The 19440-nt window shown below is 47.5% G+C and overlaps 1 protein-coding gene across 2 annotated transcripts in view; it reads right to left on the bottom strand.

Annotated features, from left to right (window-relative positions):
* Positions 1–19440, bottom strand: part of PCNT (pericentrin) — a 121614-nt gene that overhangs the window by 98077 nt on the left and 4097 nt on the right. For both annotated transcript variants that reach the window (NM_006031.6, NM_001315529.2), the window contains exons 3-6: positions 12925–13296; positions 1485–1565; positions 695–950; positions 181–236 (exon numbers count right to left, since the gene is read on the bottom strand). In NM_006031.6, coding sequence (NP_006022.3) covers positions 181–236; positions 695–950; positions 1485–1565; positions 12925–13296 — 765 coding nt within the window. The remainder of the gene's footprint in view (positions 1–180; positions 237–694; positions 951–1484; positions 1566–12924; positions 13297–19440) is intronic.

Raw genomic sequence — 19440 nt, 5'->3', positions numbered from 1 at the left:
TCTGACAAATACAAATGATATAAATAAACAAAGAACGCAATACACTTTCAACCAGCATATTCTAATAAAGCCTCGACTGGCTTCTGTCTGAATCAAGGTGAGGAGCGTTCTCATGGGACCTGGCGAGAAAGGAAAAACAACATACACAGAGGCGTGCATTTTAGAATCGATCCCGGGTACCTTTACTATCTGGGCGTTTTTCTCCATTTCTGATTGTAACTTCTCCTTCAGCTCAGCTGCAAGAAAAACAAAAAGCAGCTCAGGCCACTCCATCTCAACCTTTTCAGTGACCCAACTGCCCAGGAAACGACCAGGCTCTGGCACCCACTGGACACGTGCCAGCATTCACGGGCTAGCAGGATGTGTCTGTGATGATGCTTGGCTTTAATAACAAACTGAGGACACCGTGACTTCCAGACACACAGGACGATCTAAGAGAGGAGGTGAAGGTCAGCCCTGGGTCGCACCTATCACAGACCACCTGGAAACCTGCTCTAATAATCTCCTGGCCACAAAAACCCAAGGGCCCCCTTTGTTCACCCCTCTCATGGTGCCAGACACCAGGCAAGGTGCTGAGAACAGAGATGGGGAGACGGTGCTAGGGCGCCCCAGCTCCCAACCCCAAGAGGGAACAGGCACTAGAATGCCCACACCGAGCCCACACGCTGCCCGTGCCCGCCTAGCCATGCAGTACCTGCTTCCTGTCCACACCTGAGCACCACCTCCTCCTTCTCCCGTGCGTGCTGCTCCCTGAGGAGCTCCAGCTCGTGCTGCTGCCTGCTCTGTAGCAGGGCCAGCTCCTGGGCACGCCGGCTGTTGAGCATCTCCCGCAGCTCCGTCAATGCCGTCTCCTTCTCCTTCTGGAGGTTGGCCTGTGTCAGCTCCAGCTGCGCCGTGTGCATGTTGCTCAGACTCAGGCGCAGCGCCTCCAGCTCAAGGCCATGCACGGCCTGCGGCGGAGAAAAGGCCTCTGATAAGGGCCCATGGTCAGAACCAGGGCGCATCAGGGAGACACAGAAGCATGAATGAGAATGAGTAAGGAAGACACAGAAAATGAAACAGCAGACATCCCGTGGAAGCAGGGGCAGGACACAGAGGCCCGGATGCCACTGAGATGCCACCCAGCTCCTCTGCCAGTGACCCCACAGCGCATCACTGCCCTGAGCACCAGCACCCCGAATTCCCTCGCTGTATGACGGCACTGTGTGTACCTGGAGGGGGCTTCGCAGCTGACAGGGAGAGCAACCGGCCTGAGGTCAGTGTGTCATTCATGTGGCCTGCACCTGACCAAGCCCCCTGACCCCCAGCATCCACGTGTGTCTCCTCCACCGGCCCTGCTGATGGCCCCACACACAGAACGTGGAAACAGACAACTCAGAGAAAGGAGATGGCAGCGCCCACCCCACCCCCACCCGGATGCCCACTGTGCCCTGTGGGGATAACAGAGCCCATGCTGTGAGCCTGTGCAGGCCCCGCCGGGTCACCTGACTCTGATGCAGGCCAGCCTCATCTTCACGGCCGCTCTCCAGGTCAGTAATGGCAAGTTCACATTCTTGTTCACACTCCTGGGGAAAAAAGGCAAAGAATGTAGGTCCAGAATTCACATGAGAAGCCACAGTGATGTGCTCAAGAACTGACGACGCACGTCCTCACAAAACCCCGTTCGCAGCTGTTCACAGCAGCACCACTCGCAACGGCCAGAAGGTGGGAGCAACCCAAATGCCTCCTGAGGGATGAATGGTTGAACAAACGTGGGCTGCCATTCAGCCACAAGAAGGAACGAAGCCCCAACTCAGGCTGCAACACAGAGGAGCCCTGAAGACGTGAGGCTGAGTGACAGAGCAGACACAGAAGGCCACGTATGGTGAGGTTCCGTTTACATCAAGTGTTCAGGATCTGCAAATCCGTAGACATGGAGCAGCCTGGAGGCTGCGAGGAGCTGAGGGAGGAGAGCGGGGTGGCTGCCGCGAGCACCGGGCTTCCTTCTGGGGTGATGATGATGTCTGGAGCCACTGGAGATGGTGCTCACACATGCTGTGAGTGTACTAAGTGCCACTGAGGTCTGTACTTTAAAATGGTGAATCGTATGCTTGTTAATTGTATCTCATTAAAAAAAGAAGAAGGAAAAATATTAAACTCGCTTAAATCACAATGTAAAGTCAAAGTCCCAGAAACAGGCCAGGCATGGTGGCTCACGCCTATAATCCCAGAATTTGGGAGGCCGAGGCAGGCAGATTACCTGAGGTCAGGAGTTCGAGACCAGCCTGGCCAACATGGTGAAACCCCATCTCTACTAAAAATACAAAAATTAGCCAGGCGTGGTGGCGGGCACCTGTAGTCCCAGCTACTTGGGAGGCTGAGGCAGGAGGATCACTTGAACCTGGAAGGCAGAGGTTGCAGTGAGCTGAGATCACACCACTGCACTCCATCCTGGGCAACAGAGCGAGACTCCACCTCAAAAAAATAAATAAACAAAATAAAGTCCCAGAAACAGAAGCTGTGGACTCTCCCCACGCCACAGCAGTGCTGCCACGGGAGGAACAAACAACCTGCTCTCAGGAAAAAGGCGGAAATGACGCCTACAGAGAGAAAATGTGCATAAAATGCCTGGAAAAAGTGGGTACCGATGAAAGGTAAACCAATCTAGAGACACAAACTTTAAAGATCCTTGTATGGCCACTAAATCAGCAAAAGTTGGGAAGAATATTACGAATCCTCAGTGCCACCACAGTCACAAGAAACAAATGCACCCAAATGCTACCAACATCAGAATCAGTTGCTTCAACTTTTTTCTCAGCAGCCATTTTGGCAACACAGGTCGAGCCACAGAAAGCCTTTCCCTGTCTCAACATTCCCACCTCTGGAAACCTTTTCAGCAGCAATAACCCAAAGGGAAAAGAAAAGCTGCAGGGGGCCCGTCGGCACGGATCCTGAGCCCACCGTCACTGTGGCCCTCCCTGCAGGCTCCTGCCCCTCGACTGGCGCCTGGGACGTATCCCCTGCCTGTGGAAGCGACCATTCTCTGGCTTCCCCTGCATCAGCCAGGCACCTTTCTGGGCTCCAGGTGACCCACTTGCTCACAGAGTACTTCCGATTAAAAAATGACCCAAACTAAATTTTTCTGCCCCAACTGGGGAACTGGCTAGGGATGGAGAGATACAGGCTTGATACAGTTGCAAAAGCTAGAAAGGCCCCCGGAGGAACTGGACAGGGAAGGGCGGCATGGTGGGCTCCACAAGGGCTGCCTGTGCGGGGACTCGTCCCCAGGGTGGGCGGCCACATGAGTGCAGCAACATCTCCCTTCAATGTCAGGAGCTCGGGCCGGGCGCGGTGGTTCACACCTGGAATCCCAGCACTTTGGGAGGCTGAGGCAGGTGGATCATGAGGTCAGGAGATTGAGAACATCCTGGCCAACATGGTGAAACCCTCTCTCTACCAAAAATACAAAAAAATTAGCTGGGCGTGGTGGCAGGCGCCTGTAGTCCCAGCTACTCGGGAGGCTGAGGCAGGAGAATGGCATGAACCCGGGAGGCAGACCCGGCAGAGCTTGCAGTGAACAGAGATCGCGCCACTGCACTCCAGCCTGGGTGACAGAGCGATACTCCATCTCAAAAAAAAAAAAAGAAAAGAAAAGAAAAGATAAACAAAACTGATAGATCATTAGTGAGATTAACCAGGAAAGGAAGAGAGAAGATCCAAATAAGCTCAATTGGAAACTAAATGGGAGACATTACAACCAATACCACAGAAATACCAAAGATCACTCAAGGCCACTATGAACACCTTTATGTGCACAAACTAGAAAACCTGGAGGCGATGGATAAATTCCTGGAAATATACATCCCTTCGAGATTAGACCAGGAAGAAACAGAAATTCTGAACAGACCAGTAACAAGCAGCAAGACTGAAACAGTAATTTAAAAATTGCCAACAAAAATTGTCCAGGACCAGAGGGATTCACAGCTGAATTCTATCAGACATTCAAAGAAGAATTGGTACTAATCCTACTGAAACTATTCCAAAAGATAGAGAAAGAAAGAATCCTTCCTAAATCATTCTATGAAGTCAGTATCACCCTAATACCAAAACCAGGAAAGGACATAACAAAAAAAGAAAACTACAGACCAATATCCCTGATGAACATAGATGCAAAAATCTTCAACAAAATACTAGCTAACGGAATCCAACAGCACATAAAAAAGATAATACACTTGGGTTTCATACCAGGGATGAAGGTTCAACACACACAAGTTAACAAATGTGATATACCCCATAAACAGCATTAAAAAGAAAAATCATATGATCATCTCAATAGATGCAGAAGAAGCATTTGACAAAATCCAGGATCCCTTTACGATTAAAACCCTCAGCAAAATCGGCATAGAAGGGACAATAAAAGCCATTCATGACAAACCCACAGCCAACATTATACTGAAAAGGGAGAAGTTGAAGGCATTTTAGAACTGGAAAAAGACAAGGATGCTCACTTTCACCACTGCTCTGGAGTCCTAGCCAGAGCAATCAGACAAGAGAAGAAATAGAGGGCATCCAAATCAGTAAAGAGGAAAAACAGTCCCTGTCTGCTGATGACAGGATCGTTTACCTACAAAACCCTGGAGACTCATCCAGAAAGCTCCTACATCTGATCGATGAATTCAGTAAAGTTTCAGGACACGAAATCAACATACACAAATCAGTAGCACTGCTATACCCCAAAAGTGACCAAGCTGAGAACCAAATGAAGAACTCAACACCTTTTACGATGGCTGCAAAAAATAAAATAAAATACTTAGGAATATTCCTAACCAAGGAGGCGAAAAATCTCTACAAGGGAAACCACAAAACACTGCTGAAAGAAATCGCTGGCTGCGCACGGTGGCTCACACCTGCAATCCCAGCACTTTGGGAGGCCGAGGCAGGCGGATCACGAGGTCAAGAGATTGAGACCATCTGCTGAAACTCCGTCTCTACTAAAAATACAAAAATTAGCTGGGCGTGGTGGCACATGCCTGTATTCCCAACTACTCTGGAAGCTGAGGTAGAAGAATCACTTGAACCCGGGAGGCGGAGGTTGCAGTGAGCCGAGATCATGCCATTGCATTCCAGCCTGGGCAACAAGAGCAAAACTCCGTCTCAAAAAAAAAAGAAAAAAAAAAAAGAAAGAATTGATGACACAAACAGATAAAAAACACATCCAGGTTGGTATGGATGCAGTGAAAACAGAAAACCTTTGCACTGCTGGTGGGAACGTAAACTAGTACAATCACTATAAAAATACAGTATGGAGACCAGGCACAGTGGCTCACGCCTGTAATCACAGCACTTTGGGAGGGCGAGGGGGGCAGATCACCTGAGGTCAGGAGTTCAAGACCAGCCTGGGCGACATGGTGAAACCCTGTCTCTACTAAAAATACAAAAATTAGCTGGCCGCAGTTGTGCACGCCTGTAATCCCAGCTACTTAGGAGGCTGAGGCAGGAGAATCACTTAAGCCTAGGAGGCAGAGGTTGCAGTGAGCCAAGATTGCACCATTGCACTCCAGCCTGGCCAACATGGCAAAACCCCATCTCTACTAAAAATAAAAAATTAGTCAGGCATGGCGGTGCATGCCTATAATCCCAGCTCCTCAGGAGGCTGAGGCATGAGAATCACTTGAACCTGGGAGGCAGAGGTTGCAATGAGCCGAATTTGCATCACCACACTCGAGGCTGGGCAACAGAGCGGGACTCCATCTCAAAAAAAAAAAAATAAGTAAAAAGCATGTAAAGCAGGAGCATCACTTGAGGCCAGAAGTTTGAGACCAGCCTAGTGAATGTAACAAGACTCCATCTCTACAAAATATTTAAAAATTTGCCAGGCATGGTGGTGCATGCCTGTGTTCCCAGCTACTCAGGAGGCTGAGTAGAAAGACTGCTTGAGCCCAGGGGTGGAGAGTGCAGTAAGCTACGATTGTGCCACTTACTGCAGCATGGGCAACAGGGTAAGACCCCGTCTCAAAATTAAAAAACAAAACAAAACACGTCCAGGAGGCCAGGTGTGGAGGCTCATACCTATAATCCCAGCACTTTGGGAGGCCGAGGCAGGAGAATGGCTTGAGACCAGCAGTTAGAGCCTACCCTGGTCAATATAGTGAGATCCCATCTCTACAAAAAAATTTAAAAATATTCCCTGCCTTACTAGACGTGAGAAAAAATAAAATAAAAAATAAAAATTATATTAAAACGTGTCTAGGGAAAGGGATATTTTTGGAAGACTGATCAGATGAAAATGTGGCACTGAACTTGAAGGGACTCCCACGAGCCATAACACAGACTTCTCACAAAAGTAACACAAACACCTCACTAAAAAAGACCAGACAATGTGCTACTCCAAGCGGAATAACGGACATATGGAAAACAGAAAACATTCAAGGAACCAAAAAAAGATCCTGAGAAGTGGCACCCACGGCAGACCCAAAATAATAGTGATCCAAATCAACCCGAGCAACACATTCCATTCAAAGTGGATGGGCTGGCCAGGCGCGGTGACTCATGCCTGTAACCCCCTCACTTTGGGAGGCCAAGGTGGGCAGATCACTTGAGGTCAGGAGCTCAAGACCAGCCTGGCCAACATGGGGAAACCCATCTCTACTAAAAATACAAAAATCAGCCGGATATGGTGGCACACGTCTGTAATTCCAGCTACTCAGGAGGCTGAGGCATGAGAATCTCTTGAACCTGGGAGGCAGAGGTTGCAGTGAGCTGAGATGGCACCACTGCACTCCAGCCTGGGCTACAGAGTGAGACTTCGTCTCAAGAGTTCGAGACCAGCCTGGCCAACATGGCAAAACCCCGTCTCTACTAAAAAAAAATACAAAAATTAGCCCAGCATGGTGGCGGGCACCTGTAATCCCAGCTACTTGGGAGGCTGAGGTAGGAGAATCACTTGAACCTGGGAGGTGAAGGTTGCAGTGAGCCGAGATCACACCATTACACTCCAGTCTGGGCAACAGAGAAAGACTCCATCTCAATAAAAAACAAAGTGGATAGGCTCACTGCACCTCCAAATACCAGGCCAAAGTGGAGACCAATTCACTCACAAAAAAAGATGTACAGTTAAAATAAGTTTGAAAATATCTCTAGGAAACAAAAAATTATGCAGAATAACAACCAATTTTAAAGAATCCAAATAGAACTAAAAACAGCAAGAACAAAATTAACAACTCTGGACGTATTTAACAGCAGATTATATACAGATGAACAGAGGTTTAGAAAAATGGGAGATAACACAGATAAAACGATCCAGCCTACGGCCAAGAGCAAAAAGAAGGCAAGCACAAAAGTGGGCTGAGCTATACGTATGTGATATGATTGGGCTGTGTCCCCACCCAAATCTCATCTTGACTTGTAGCTCCCACAATTCCCACGTGTCATGGGAGGGGCCCAGTGGGAGGTAACTGAATCATGGGGGCGGGTCTTTCCCGTGCTTGTCTCCTGAGAGTGAATAAGTCTCACTAGATCCGATGGTTTTATAAAGAGGAGTTCCTCTGCACAAGTTCTCTCTCTTTGCCTTCCACCATCCACCTAAGATGTGACTTGGTCCTCCTTGCCTTCCACCATGACTGTGAGGCCTCCCCAGCCACGTGGAACTGTGAGTCCATTAAACCTCTCTTCCTTAATTACCCAGTCTTGGGTATGCCTTTATTAGCAGCATGAGAATGGACAAATACGGTATGCAAGAGAACTCTAAAACTTAATGGAGAGAAAGAACAGGTAGAAGGTATGATGGAGATACTGGTTAGGATTTGAGGCAACAGATGAGAAAAGCATCATCCACACATTGAAGAAAACCCTAGATCCCAAGCAGAATCAAAGACATCATAAAAAGCCATACCTGGTGTGATAGTTAACATTGTCAACTTGATTGGATTGAAGGATACAAAGTATTGTCCCTGAATGTGTCTGTGAGGGTGTTGCCAAAGGAGATTAAAATTTGAGTCAATGGACTGGGAAAGGCAGATCCACCCTCAATCTGGGTTGCCACCATCTAATCAGCTGCCAGTGTGGCCAAAATAAAACCAGGCAGAAGAGCGTGGAAGGACTAGACTAGACTGGTTAGCCCTCTGGCCTCCATCTTTCTCCCATGCTGGATGCTTCCTGCCCTCAAACATCAGACTCCAAGTTCTTCAGCTTTCGGACTCAGACTGGCTTCCTTGCTCCTCAGCCTGCAGATGGCTTACTGTGGGACCTCACCTTGTGATTATGTGACTCGATGCTCCTTAATAAACTCCCCTTTATATGTCTATCTATCCTTTTAGTTCTGTCCCTCTAAAGAACACATAAAATCAAAACTGCAGAACACCAAAGACAAAAGCCTTCAGGGTGGCCACGGCAGTGAACACAAGCTAGAGAGGGGCAGAGCGAAACCACCGGCAAGCAAGACACCAACTGCCAACTATATGTCTACGCCAGCCAGGCTTTCAAGAAGGGAAATAAAAACAGGCCAGGCACAGTTGTTCACACCAGTAATCCCAGCACTTTGGGAGGCCGAGGTGAGCAGATCACCTGAGATCATGAGTTCGAGATCAGCCTGGCCAACATGGTAAAACTATCCCTACTAAAAATACAAAAATTAGGCCGGGTGCGGTGGCTCACGCCTGTAATCCCAGCACTTTGGGAGGCCGAGGCGGGTGGATCATTTGAGGTCAGGAGTTCGAGACCAGCCTGGCCAACATGGTGAAACCCCGTCTCTACTAGAAATACAAAAATTAGCCAAGTGATAGTGGCATGCACCTGTAATCCCAGGTACTCGGGAGGCTGAGGCGGGAGAACCCCTTGAGCCTGGGAGGCAGAGGTTGCAGTGAGCTGAGAATGGGCCACTGCACTCTAGGCTGGGCGAGTGAGAGACCCTGTCTCAAAATAAATAAATAAATAAATACAAAAATTAGCCAGGCATGGTGGTGCACACCTGTAATCCCAGCTACTCGGGAGGCTGAAGCAGGAGAATCGCTTGAGCCCAGGAGGCAGAGGTTATAGTGAGCCGAGATCACCGCTCCAGCCTGGGCGACAAGAGTGCAAGAGCAAAACTCCGTCTCAAAAAAAAAAAAAAAAAGACACATTCATTATTCATATTCACAAAAAAGCTAGAAGAAAGATGTCCCTCACCAGGTGAGTGGATAAACAAACTGTGTACCATGCACACAATGAAGTACTAACCAGCATCAAAAAGGAATGAGCTACTGATCAATCTAAAGCTTGGATGAATCTTCAACTCATTTTGCTAAGTGATTTAAAAACCTGGACCCAAAAGCCTACATATTATAGAATTCCATCTGTAGAACATTCTGGAAAAGGCAAAACCATAGAACAAAAAACAGACCACTGGTTGCCAGAGGCTGGGGAAGGAGAGAGCGGCTGGTTAGAAAGAGGACACGGGCCCTCTTGGGGGCTGGGGTTGTTCTCGAGGGTAACTGGGTGGTGAATATGACTCTACACAATTGTGCATCACAAAGAATGAACTTAGAAGCATGCAAATTTTAGGGTGGGCGAGGTGGCTCACACCTGTAATCCCAGCATTTTGGAGGCCGAGGCAGGAGGATCACTTGAGCCCAAGAGTTCAAGACCAGTCCTGTCAACACAGTGAGACCCTGTCTCTACAAAAAAATAAAAACAAAACTTAGCCAGGTGTGGTGGAACGTGCCTGTAATCCCAGCTACTTGGGAGGCTGAGGTGGGAGGACTGCCTAAGCCTAGGAGTTCAAGGCTGTAGTGAGCCAAGATTGTACCGCTGCACTACAGCCTGGACAACAGAGCAAGACACTGTCTCAAAAAAAACAGTCTGCGCGGTGGCTCATGCCTGTAATCCTAGCACTTTGGGAGGCCGAGGTGGGGGCGGATCACCTGAGGTTGGGAGTTCAAGATCAGCCTGACCAACATGGTGAAACCCCATCTCTACTAAAAATACAAAACTAGCCAGGCGTGGTGGCGCATGCCTGTAATCCCAGCAACTCGGGAGGCTGAGGTAGGAGAATCGCTTGAATCCGGGAAGCGGAGATTGCGGAGAGCCGAGATCGCGCCACTGCACTCCAGCCTGGGCAACAAGAGCGAAACTCCATCTCAAAAAACAAAACAAAACAGTATGCAACTTTAAAAAATTGACCAGGATGTTGTGGGATCCCAGGATAGGAAGTAGCCAGTGACCAATGAACCTGACTACATACTCACCAGTGAAGACACAACCTTAGTGAAGGGCTGGGGAAGAGAGGAGTGACCTGAGTAACCTTGGAAAACAGTTGTGACTGGAAACTGAAAATGGAGACAAAGGAGCTGTAAACAAACACTTAAATCCACTTGGTAAATTTGTTTCTTATATGATGTGGGTTGCTAATTCTGAAACTATTATACACTTACAGGAGAGTTGAACAAATAAGTAAATAAATGGGGCCGGGCGTGGTGGCCCACACCTGTAATCCCAGCACTTTGGGGGGTTGAGGCGGGTGGATCATCTGAGGTCAGGAGTTGGAGACCAGCCTGACCAACATGGTGAAACCCCAATTAGCCAGGCATGGTGGCAGCACTTGTAATCGCAGCTACTAGAGAGGCTGAGGCAGGAGAATCACTTGAGCCCAGGAGGCAGAGGCTGCAGCAAGCCGAGATCCTGCCACTGCACTCCAGCCTGGGCAACAGAGCGAGACTGTCTCAAAAAAACAAACAAACAAACAAACAAACAAAAAAAACAACCTTCTAATTTTTTTTTTTAAAGTAAATAAATGGCAGAAGTGAGAGCCAGGCTTCTCACTATCCGAGAAGGAAACTGCAAATAAACCTGGGGGGGAGGGCAGAATGAACTCTGTGGTGCTGGATTAGGCTCTGAGGTATCAGTATGTATTCCTATTTAACATATATGTCTATAAATACAAATGAACATAAATACAGCTATGAGTGTACACACAGACTAGCTCCCAGGCACACCCTTCCTCACTCTGTCCACGGAGAGAGCCCAGAAGCAGCAGCAACATCCCAGCAGGAGTGAGCACACCTAGAGCCCAGGTCTTGGTCTCAACACCATAATCTAGTAAAAGGCACCAAGACTCCTTGGAGAAACAGCGGACTCAGAACGGAGACAGGGCCTACACGATGAGCCTGCGGCACCAACTTGCAGTGTCACAAGCCAGGATGTGCTTCAAACACATGACACAGGAGCCACCTGAAGGGGCTCCCCACGGACAGAGCTGCAACAACTTAAGAATCAAAATGTTGAGGCTACACTAAGCTGTGATGGCACCACCATACTCCAGCCCAGGGGACAGAATGAGACCCGGTCCCAAGAAGTCAATAAATAAATGAAGAGTGGGTTTTATAGAACCCACCAGAGACTGTGCTTCCAGGCCTCACCTAGGAGTTAGATCTTTCCTGCAATAATGCAGATTAAAAACTAAACTTGGCCTGCATAGTGGCTCACGCCTGTAATCCCAGCACTTGGGGAGGCCAAGGCAGGAGGATCACCTGAGGTCAGGAGTTCGAGACCAGTCTGACCAATATGATGAAACCCCTTCTCTACTAAAAATATAAAAATTAGCCAGGCGTGGTGGCATGCTCCTGTAATCCCAGCTACTTGGGAGGCTGAGGCAGAAGAACCACTTGAACCTGGGAGGCGGAGGTTGCAGTGAGCCGAGATCGCGCCACTGCACTCCAGCCTGGGCAAGAGCAAAACTCCATCTCAAAAAACAAACAATTTGCCGGCCAAGTGCAGTGGCTTACGCCTGTAATCCCAACACTTCAGGAGGCTGAGACGAGCAGATCACTTGAGGTCAGCACCAGCCTGACCAACATGAGGAAACCCTGTCTCTACTAAAAATACAATAATTAGCCAGGCATGGTGGTGGGTGCTTATAATCACAGCTACTTGGGAGGCTGAGGCAGGAGAATCGCTTGAACCCAGGAGGCGGAGGTTACAGTAAGCCAAGATCGCACCACCAGCCTGGGCAATAGAGCAAGACTCCGTCTCTATTTAAAAAAAAAAAAAAAACCCCAAAAACCAAAAAACAACCAAACTTGCCTAAAGCAGTGTGAACTGAGTCTAGCTAGAATCAAATGGCTAAAATAGAGGCTTTTTTTTTTGTGAGATGGAATCTCGGTCTGTCTCCCAGGCTGAAGTGCAGTGGCACCCAGCTAATTTTGTATTTTTAGTAGAGAGGGGTTTCACCATATTGGCCAGGCTGGTCTAAAATTCCTGACCTCGTGATCCGCCCACCTCGGCCTCCCAAAGTGCTGGGATTACAGGCGTGAGCCACCGTGCCCAGCCTAAAATATATGCTTTTAACATAACACTTCAAAAGTAGTCAATTCCAAACTTAATGTTTTCCTCCACATGCTAACAAAAAACATGTCAATAAAATAAAGGTAATCAACTCAACACGTATGGAATTCATCCCACCAGGAACGTGGCAGAAACCAGGGACATGCAGACTGACCACAGCCTCCCTGCCCTGCCAGGCTCTCAACTGGCACAGGACTTCCAGTCACAAACTGATGATGTGAGAAACGAGGTACCAGGCCTAAGAAACAGGCTGAACAGACAGGTGAGTCAATCGACAAGGGCAACTAGAATAAAGGGAATTCATGACATTCCTCAAACTTATGAAGGGTGGCTTCTCTTCAATGTCCCATGGGAAAAACAAAAAAGGAAGATCACAAGGGAGGCAGATTTGAGCTCAGGGAGAAGGGTATGAAGAGAGGCTTCCCATTCACAGGCAACACTAAGAACGTGCAGGCGGCAGCACGTGGGGCCTACAGGGTGAGCCTCTGCCTCCAGCTCTCTATGCTTCCAGTTTCCACTTCTAAAGAGAGGCCCTGCAGAGATGGAAGGTCCTCTCACTGGTTTGGATTTCTACAACATAAAGAAATCTTTTGACAAAGAATACACCTTAACAGAGAACTTAAAGAATACCTTTGTGAACATCCCACGCTGTTCTGCTGGGTGGTCACTGATTGTGAAGATCCCACGCTGTTCTGGTGTGTGGTCACTGACTGTGAACATCCCACGCTGTTCCGGTTGGTGGTCACTGATTGTGAACATCCCACGCTGTTCTGGTGGGTGGTCACTGACTGTGAACATCCCATGCTGTTCTGGTGGGTGGTCACTGACTGTGAACATCCCACGCTGTTCTGGTGGGTGGTCACCGACTGTGAACATCCCATGCTGTTCTGGTGGGTGGTCACTGACTGTGAACATCCCACACTGCTCTGGAGGATGGTCATTGACTTGCTTCTGCTGCAGCTGTTCCAAGTCCTCTCTCTTCTCTCCATCACAGTCCTCCGGCTAAGAAGGGGAGGACCAGAAAGAAGCATTTAAAGCAAGGTCTAGGGCTGCAGCCTCAGGCCCTTCCCAGCTCCTCTATCTGCAGGCCTGTGCTGACTTCATTTAACAAGTAGAGCTCACTTCCACCTGTTCAGAACGTGCACCTTCCGCATTAACAATTCCCAAGCTCTAAACATTTTTTTTTTTTTTTTTGAGACGGAGTCTTGCTCTGTCGCCCAGGCTGGAGTGCAGTGGCACAATCTCAGCTCACTGCAATCTCCGCCTCCTGGGTTCACGCCATTCCCCTGCCTCAGCCTCCCTAGTAGCTGGGACTATGGGTGCCCGCCACCACGCCCAGCTAATTTTTGTATTTTTAGTAGAGACAGGGTTTCACCATGTTAGCCAAGATGGTCTTGATCTCCTGACCTCGTGATCCGCCCGCCTTGGCCTCCCAAAGTGCTGGGATTACAGGCATGAGCCACCACACCTGGCCAGCTCTAAACATTTTTATAATGCAAGTAATTTCCCTAATGATGTTCCTGCCCCTCTTCTTAATGAATTCTACTTTTTTTTTTTTTTTTGAGACGGAGTCTTGCTCTGTTGCCAGGCTGCAATGCAGTTGCACGAACTCGGCTCACTGAAACCTCCACCTCCTGGGTTCAAGTGATTCTCCTGTCTCAACCTCCCGGGGGTTTCACCATGTTGGCCAGACTGGTCTTGAACTCCTGACCTCAGGTGATCCACCCGCCTCGGCCTCCCCAAGTGCTGGGATTACAGGTGTGAGTAACCGTGCCCAGCCTGTAATTTTTTTTTTTTTTTGAGACAAAGTTTCACTCCGTCGCCCAGGCTGGTGGCATGACCTCGGCTCACTGCAACCTCCGCCTCCGGGTTCAAACAATTCTCCTGCCTCAGCCTCCCGAGTAGCTGGGACTACAGGCGCATGCCACCACGCCCGGCTAATTTTTTTTTTCTTTTTTGTCTTTTTTGAGACGAAGTCTCACTCTGTCACCCAGGCTGGAGTGCAGTGGCACAATCTCAGCTCACTGTAAGCTCTGCCTCCCGGGTTCACGCCATTCTCCTGCCTCAGCCTCCTGAGTAGCTGGGACTACAGGCGCGTGCCACCATGCCCAGCTAATTTTTGTATTTTTAGTAGAATCGGGGTTTCACCATGTTGACCAGGATGGTCTCAATCTCTTGACCTTGTGATCTGCCCAACTCGGCCTCCCAAAGTGCTGGGATTACAGGTGTGAGTCACTGCGCCCGGCCATGAATTCTACTTTAAAAAAGAAATTTAATTAATTTTTTGAGACAAGGTCTTGCTCTGTCACCCAGGCTGGCGTGCAGTGGTGCAATCCCAGCTCACTGCAACCTTAACCTCCTGGGCTCAAGTGATCCTCCTGCCTCAGCCACCTGAGTAGCTGGAACTACTGGCATGCGCCACTGTGCCCAGCTTATTTTTTATTTTTTTGTAGAGACAGGGTCTCTGTTCATTATGTTCCAAAGCTGGCCTCAAAATCCTGGGCTCAAGCAATCCTCCCACCTCAGCATCCCAAAATGCTGGCAATACAGGCATGAGCCACAGTGCCCAGATTAGCTTGCTTTAACAAGATGATTCACTAAGAACATTTCAATTTCTTCCCAAAATAGCAAAGAAACATGACAGTGTCGACTTTTCGGGATCATTAGATGAGTCACAAGATGAATGCAGAGAGAGAGCACCCATGGCCAATGATGATGGCAAAACTGACGTGAAAATAAAATCTCAGACAAGTCTTCATTTGACAATACCCTAGATCAATCTTCTCAGAATCAAGAGGAAGTGAGGGACGAAAAGGGGACACAGTAGTCTCAATCAGCTGCCCGCTCACATGAATGATCACACTTCAAAGGAACCTGGACCATCCACTTCCTTAAGAGGACACTTCTAATGTTTGTGTGTCAAAACTTACTTGATACAAAGAGGTTGGATCAAATTTCTTATAAAGTTGTTTTAAATTATTGCTTTATTCTTACTTCTGTAAATTACGTGTAAAACAACTTAAAATGACAAAACAGTAAAACGGCCCAGAAATCTAGATGATAAATGGTGATAACTATTTTTCCTGGTATTTGATACAAATATGAGTTGGAAAAGTGCTAGAACCACACTTCTTAAGCCTTCTATAGCACTAGTTAAATCTTCTTCAGCCAAAGTTTTTGTATTTTCTTCTGAAATTCTTGACCTCTGAGCAATTTTTGGATGGTTCTCTTTTTTTTGGAGATAAAGTCTCGCTCTTGTCCTCCAGGCTGGAGTGCAATGGCGCGATCTCGGCTCAGTGCAACCTCTGCCTCCCGGGTTCAAGTGATTCTCCTGCCTCAGCCTCCCGAGTACCTGGGATTACAGGCGCCTGCCATGAGACCCGGCTAATTTTTGTATTTTTAGTAGAGATGGGGTTTCACCACGTTGGCCAGGCTGGTCTCGAACTCCTGACCTCAGGTGATCTTCCTGCCTTGGCCTCCCAAAGTGCTGGGATTACAGGCATGAGCCAATGCGTCCCGCCAGATGGTTCTTTTACCAAAAAATGGCCTCTCCTCACTTTGTTCCTCATCTGTAACTGAAAGGTCAAATTCTGCTTTCTACCATTGCTTTATTTTTATGATTTTTTTTTTTTTGAGACAAGGCCTTGCTCTGCCGCCCAGGCTGGCGTGCAGTGGTGCCACCATAGCTCACTGTAGCCTCAAACTCCTGGGCGCAGGTGATCCTCCCAACTCAGCCTCCTGAGTAACTGGGACTACACGTGTGCACTGTCATGCCCAGCTAATTTTTATATTTTTCATAGAGACAGAGTTTCAACCATCCTCCCACGTTGGCCTCCCAAAGTGCTCGGAGCCACCATGCCTGACCTTGCTTTCTGCCATTTCTGAGTTAACTTTCAGAACTGAGACAGCTGTTGCATTGTTTCAACTATTTTTCCATCATGCACTTAACAAATTGTAAGGCAACAGAGCCGAATCCTGAATATTTACCACAAAGTCTTTCTGCAATTCTACCTTCGCTTATAACCATCCTGAAAAAAAACTAAGATCTTAAAGTTGGTTAAAAATATGTCTTATATCAGCTGGGCACAGCGGCTTATGCCTGTAATCCCAGCACTTTGGGAGGCCGAGGTGGGAGGATCACCTGAGTCAGGGAGGTCAAGGCTGAAGTAAGCTGATTGGGCCACTGCACTCCAGCCTGGGCGCCAGAGGGAGGACCTGTCTCCAAAAAAAAGAAAAAAGACTTATGCTAGAAATCATCAGTATTTACCTAACAGTTAGTGATCAAAGTAAGCAATTTATTATATGTTGGAAAGCACAATAACTTCTCCCTCCCCCTCACACACACATACACACACTCTCACACACACACAAACACACACACTTATCTTCTTATGCTGTTCAATAAGCTCACTAGACTCTCCATAGCCAAACCTCTCACAATTTATAGATGGGTAAAATAAAACAAATGCACCTTTCATTATGTTTAAAGCACTGGTACAACTATAACATAAAGGTTCCTTGAGGATTCCTGATCTCCGACGCAGCATGACCAACCATCTGAGAGGGGAGTGCCCTGGCCTGGGACATTATTCGGCCACACGGCCACCAGCTGCTAGCTTTAAACAGTGGACTCTTTCCTAGAATTTCACTTTTCAGAAGATCATTATTTTGAACACAAAATTACTCCTATTTTAACATCTACAACTGGATTAAAGGCATACTAAACTCAAATATCATGAAATATTTTATAATACATATGAAAAAAACTCCTTTTTAGACTGAACTGATGATGTACAATGATATAATCAGAAAAAAGTTAATGAAATATCTGCTTCTAAAGCACCAATGGTTTTTATATACATAATTGACAAAATGGCTTAAGAAATTTGATTCCTAACTTAGTGTACAGCAGAAAGACAATGGCTCTATTCTACACATACTACTTAGTTTACCTATACATGTATAAAGAAAATAAATTTTAGCCAGGTGGGATGGCTCACACCTATAATTCCAGCACTTTGGGAGGCCGAGGTGGGAGAATTACTTGAGCACAGGAGTTTGAGACCAGCCCTGACAACACAGTGTAACACTGTCTCTACAAATTTTTTTTTAAGTTAGCCAGGTATGGTGGCACATGCCTGTAGTCCCAGGTACTAGGGAGGCTGAGGCAGGAGGGTCACTTGAGGCCAGGAGGTCAAGGCTGGAATGAGCCATGATTGCGCCACTGCACTCCAGCCTGGTCAAGAAAACAAGACCCTATCTCAAAAAAAAGGGGGAAAAAGCTGATGTCCAAGATCCAATAGGGGTTAATACCTGATGACTGCATGTTTAGCTTATTAAAATGTCAGGAATTCTGTGGAAAAAGCTGACTGGTACCTGACCTTTGCCCACCATTTTAGAGCCAATGGACAGGAAGAGGAGGTATGTCTCTGCTGATGTCAAGCTGTAACTGTGCAGAGGAGTTCAGGATGACGATGTGAGATGAAAATCAGTCAGGCCCTGCCATGCCTTCATTCCATGAAGAATCCTGGCTGCAGGAGCACATACTTTTCCTAGAGAAAGTATCCTTACATTTTACCAGCTTTTGGTTTTTAAAATACTGCTTTAAACAGTTAAGTTACTACTCACAGCAACAGTTATAAGTAACAGAATGCTTTACCTTGGCCATCTTGCCATTGTTTCACCAAGTTTTGTGAAAGCAGACCTCTCCTCACATCTGCCACACCACCCCACGCTTGAGGGTGAAGTGTCCTGTCCACTGTGGTCACGAGGAGGTGACACAAAATGCAGCAAGTGCAGTGAGTGTGCGTGTGCATCTCTAAGTCAAGGGGACCAGTAATGGGCCTGTTATTTATAGATTGCTTTAAGATGTCCAAAATACATGTTTTATTAGTGGTATAGTTAATTCTAAAATGAAAAAAAATGTTATATAAGTAACCTAATGTGTTTATTGTAGGAAATACCAAAAACCATAACAACGAAAAAACCAACAACTCTATTCCTTTCTGACCACCACTGTTAATTTTCTGGTATATGCCCTTCTGGTTTTGAAAACAAAAATCAAAATGCTTTTCATCAGATCATCTTCCTGAATGAAGGCATGCATCAAATAGCAGAGTTAGAAACTAAGAGAGTCTCTACCTGATGAAACAGCAAAGTATGAGTGTTTAATCAGGAGTCTATACCATGCCTTCTAATGTTAACGACCCATCAGTCTCCAAATACAATTTACCACAAAATGTGCTAAGTTTGGAATGGTTTTCTGATAGGATCCTGAGATTCCCACATATATTTATCAGCTTACTACTTTTAAAACGTCTATGCAGGCCAGGCACAGTGGCTCACGCCTGTAATCCCCACACTTTGGGAGGCCGAGGCAGGTGGATCACGAGGTCAGGAGTTCGAGACCAGCCTGGCCAATGTGGTGAAACCCCATCTCAACCAAACAAATACAAAAATTAGCCGGCCATGGTGGTGCCCACTTGTAATCCCAGCTACTCGGGAGGCTGATGCAGGAGAAACGCTTGAAATCGGGAGGCAGAGGTTGCAGGAAGCAGAGGGCGTGCCGCTGCACTCCAGCCTGGATGACAGAGTGAGACTTCGCCTTAAAGAAAAAAAAAAAGTATGTGCAACCAGAGGGCCGGGTGCAGTGGCTCACGCCTGTAATCCCAGCACTTTGGGAGGCCAAGGTGGGTGGATTGCTTGAGGTCAGGAGTTGAAGACCAGCCTGACCAACATGGTGAAACCCTGTCTCTACTAAAAATACAAAAATTAGCTGGGTTTGGTGGCAGGCGCCTGCAATCCCAGCTACACGGGAGGCTGACGCAGGAAAATCGCTTGAACCCAGGAGGCAGAGGTTACAGTGAGCCAGGACTGCACCACTGCACTCCAGCCTGGGCAAAAGAGTGAGACTCCATTTCAAAAAAAACCAAAAAACATATGCAACCAGAATATATCAAAAGTAACTTTCTGCCCAGCAAGGTGGCAGAAATCCTGTAATCCTGGCACTTTGGGAGCCTGAGGCAGGAAGATCGCTTCAGCCTGGGAGGCAGAGGTTGCACTGAGCAGAGTTCGCGTCACTGCGCTCCAGCCTGGGCAACAGAGAGACTGTATCTTAAAAAGAAAACGGGAAAAAAAAAAAAAACA

This window comes from Homo sapiens, chromosome 21 (genome assembly GCF_000001405.40).
Source record: "Homo sapiens chromosome 21, GRCh38.p14 Primary Assembly".
NCBI lineage: Eukaryota > Metazoa > Chordata > Mammalia > Primates > Hominidae > Homo > Homo sapiens.
The sequence above is the reverse complement of the archived record's forward strand: the minus strand, read 5'-3'. Positions and strand labels throughout refer to the sequence as shown.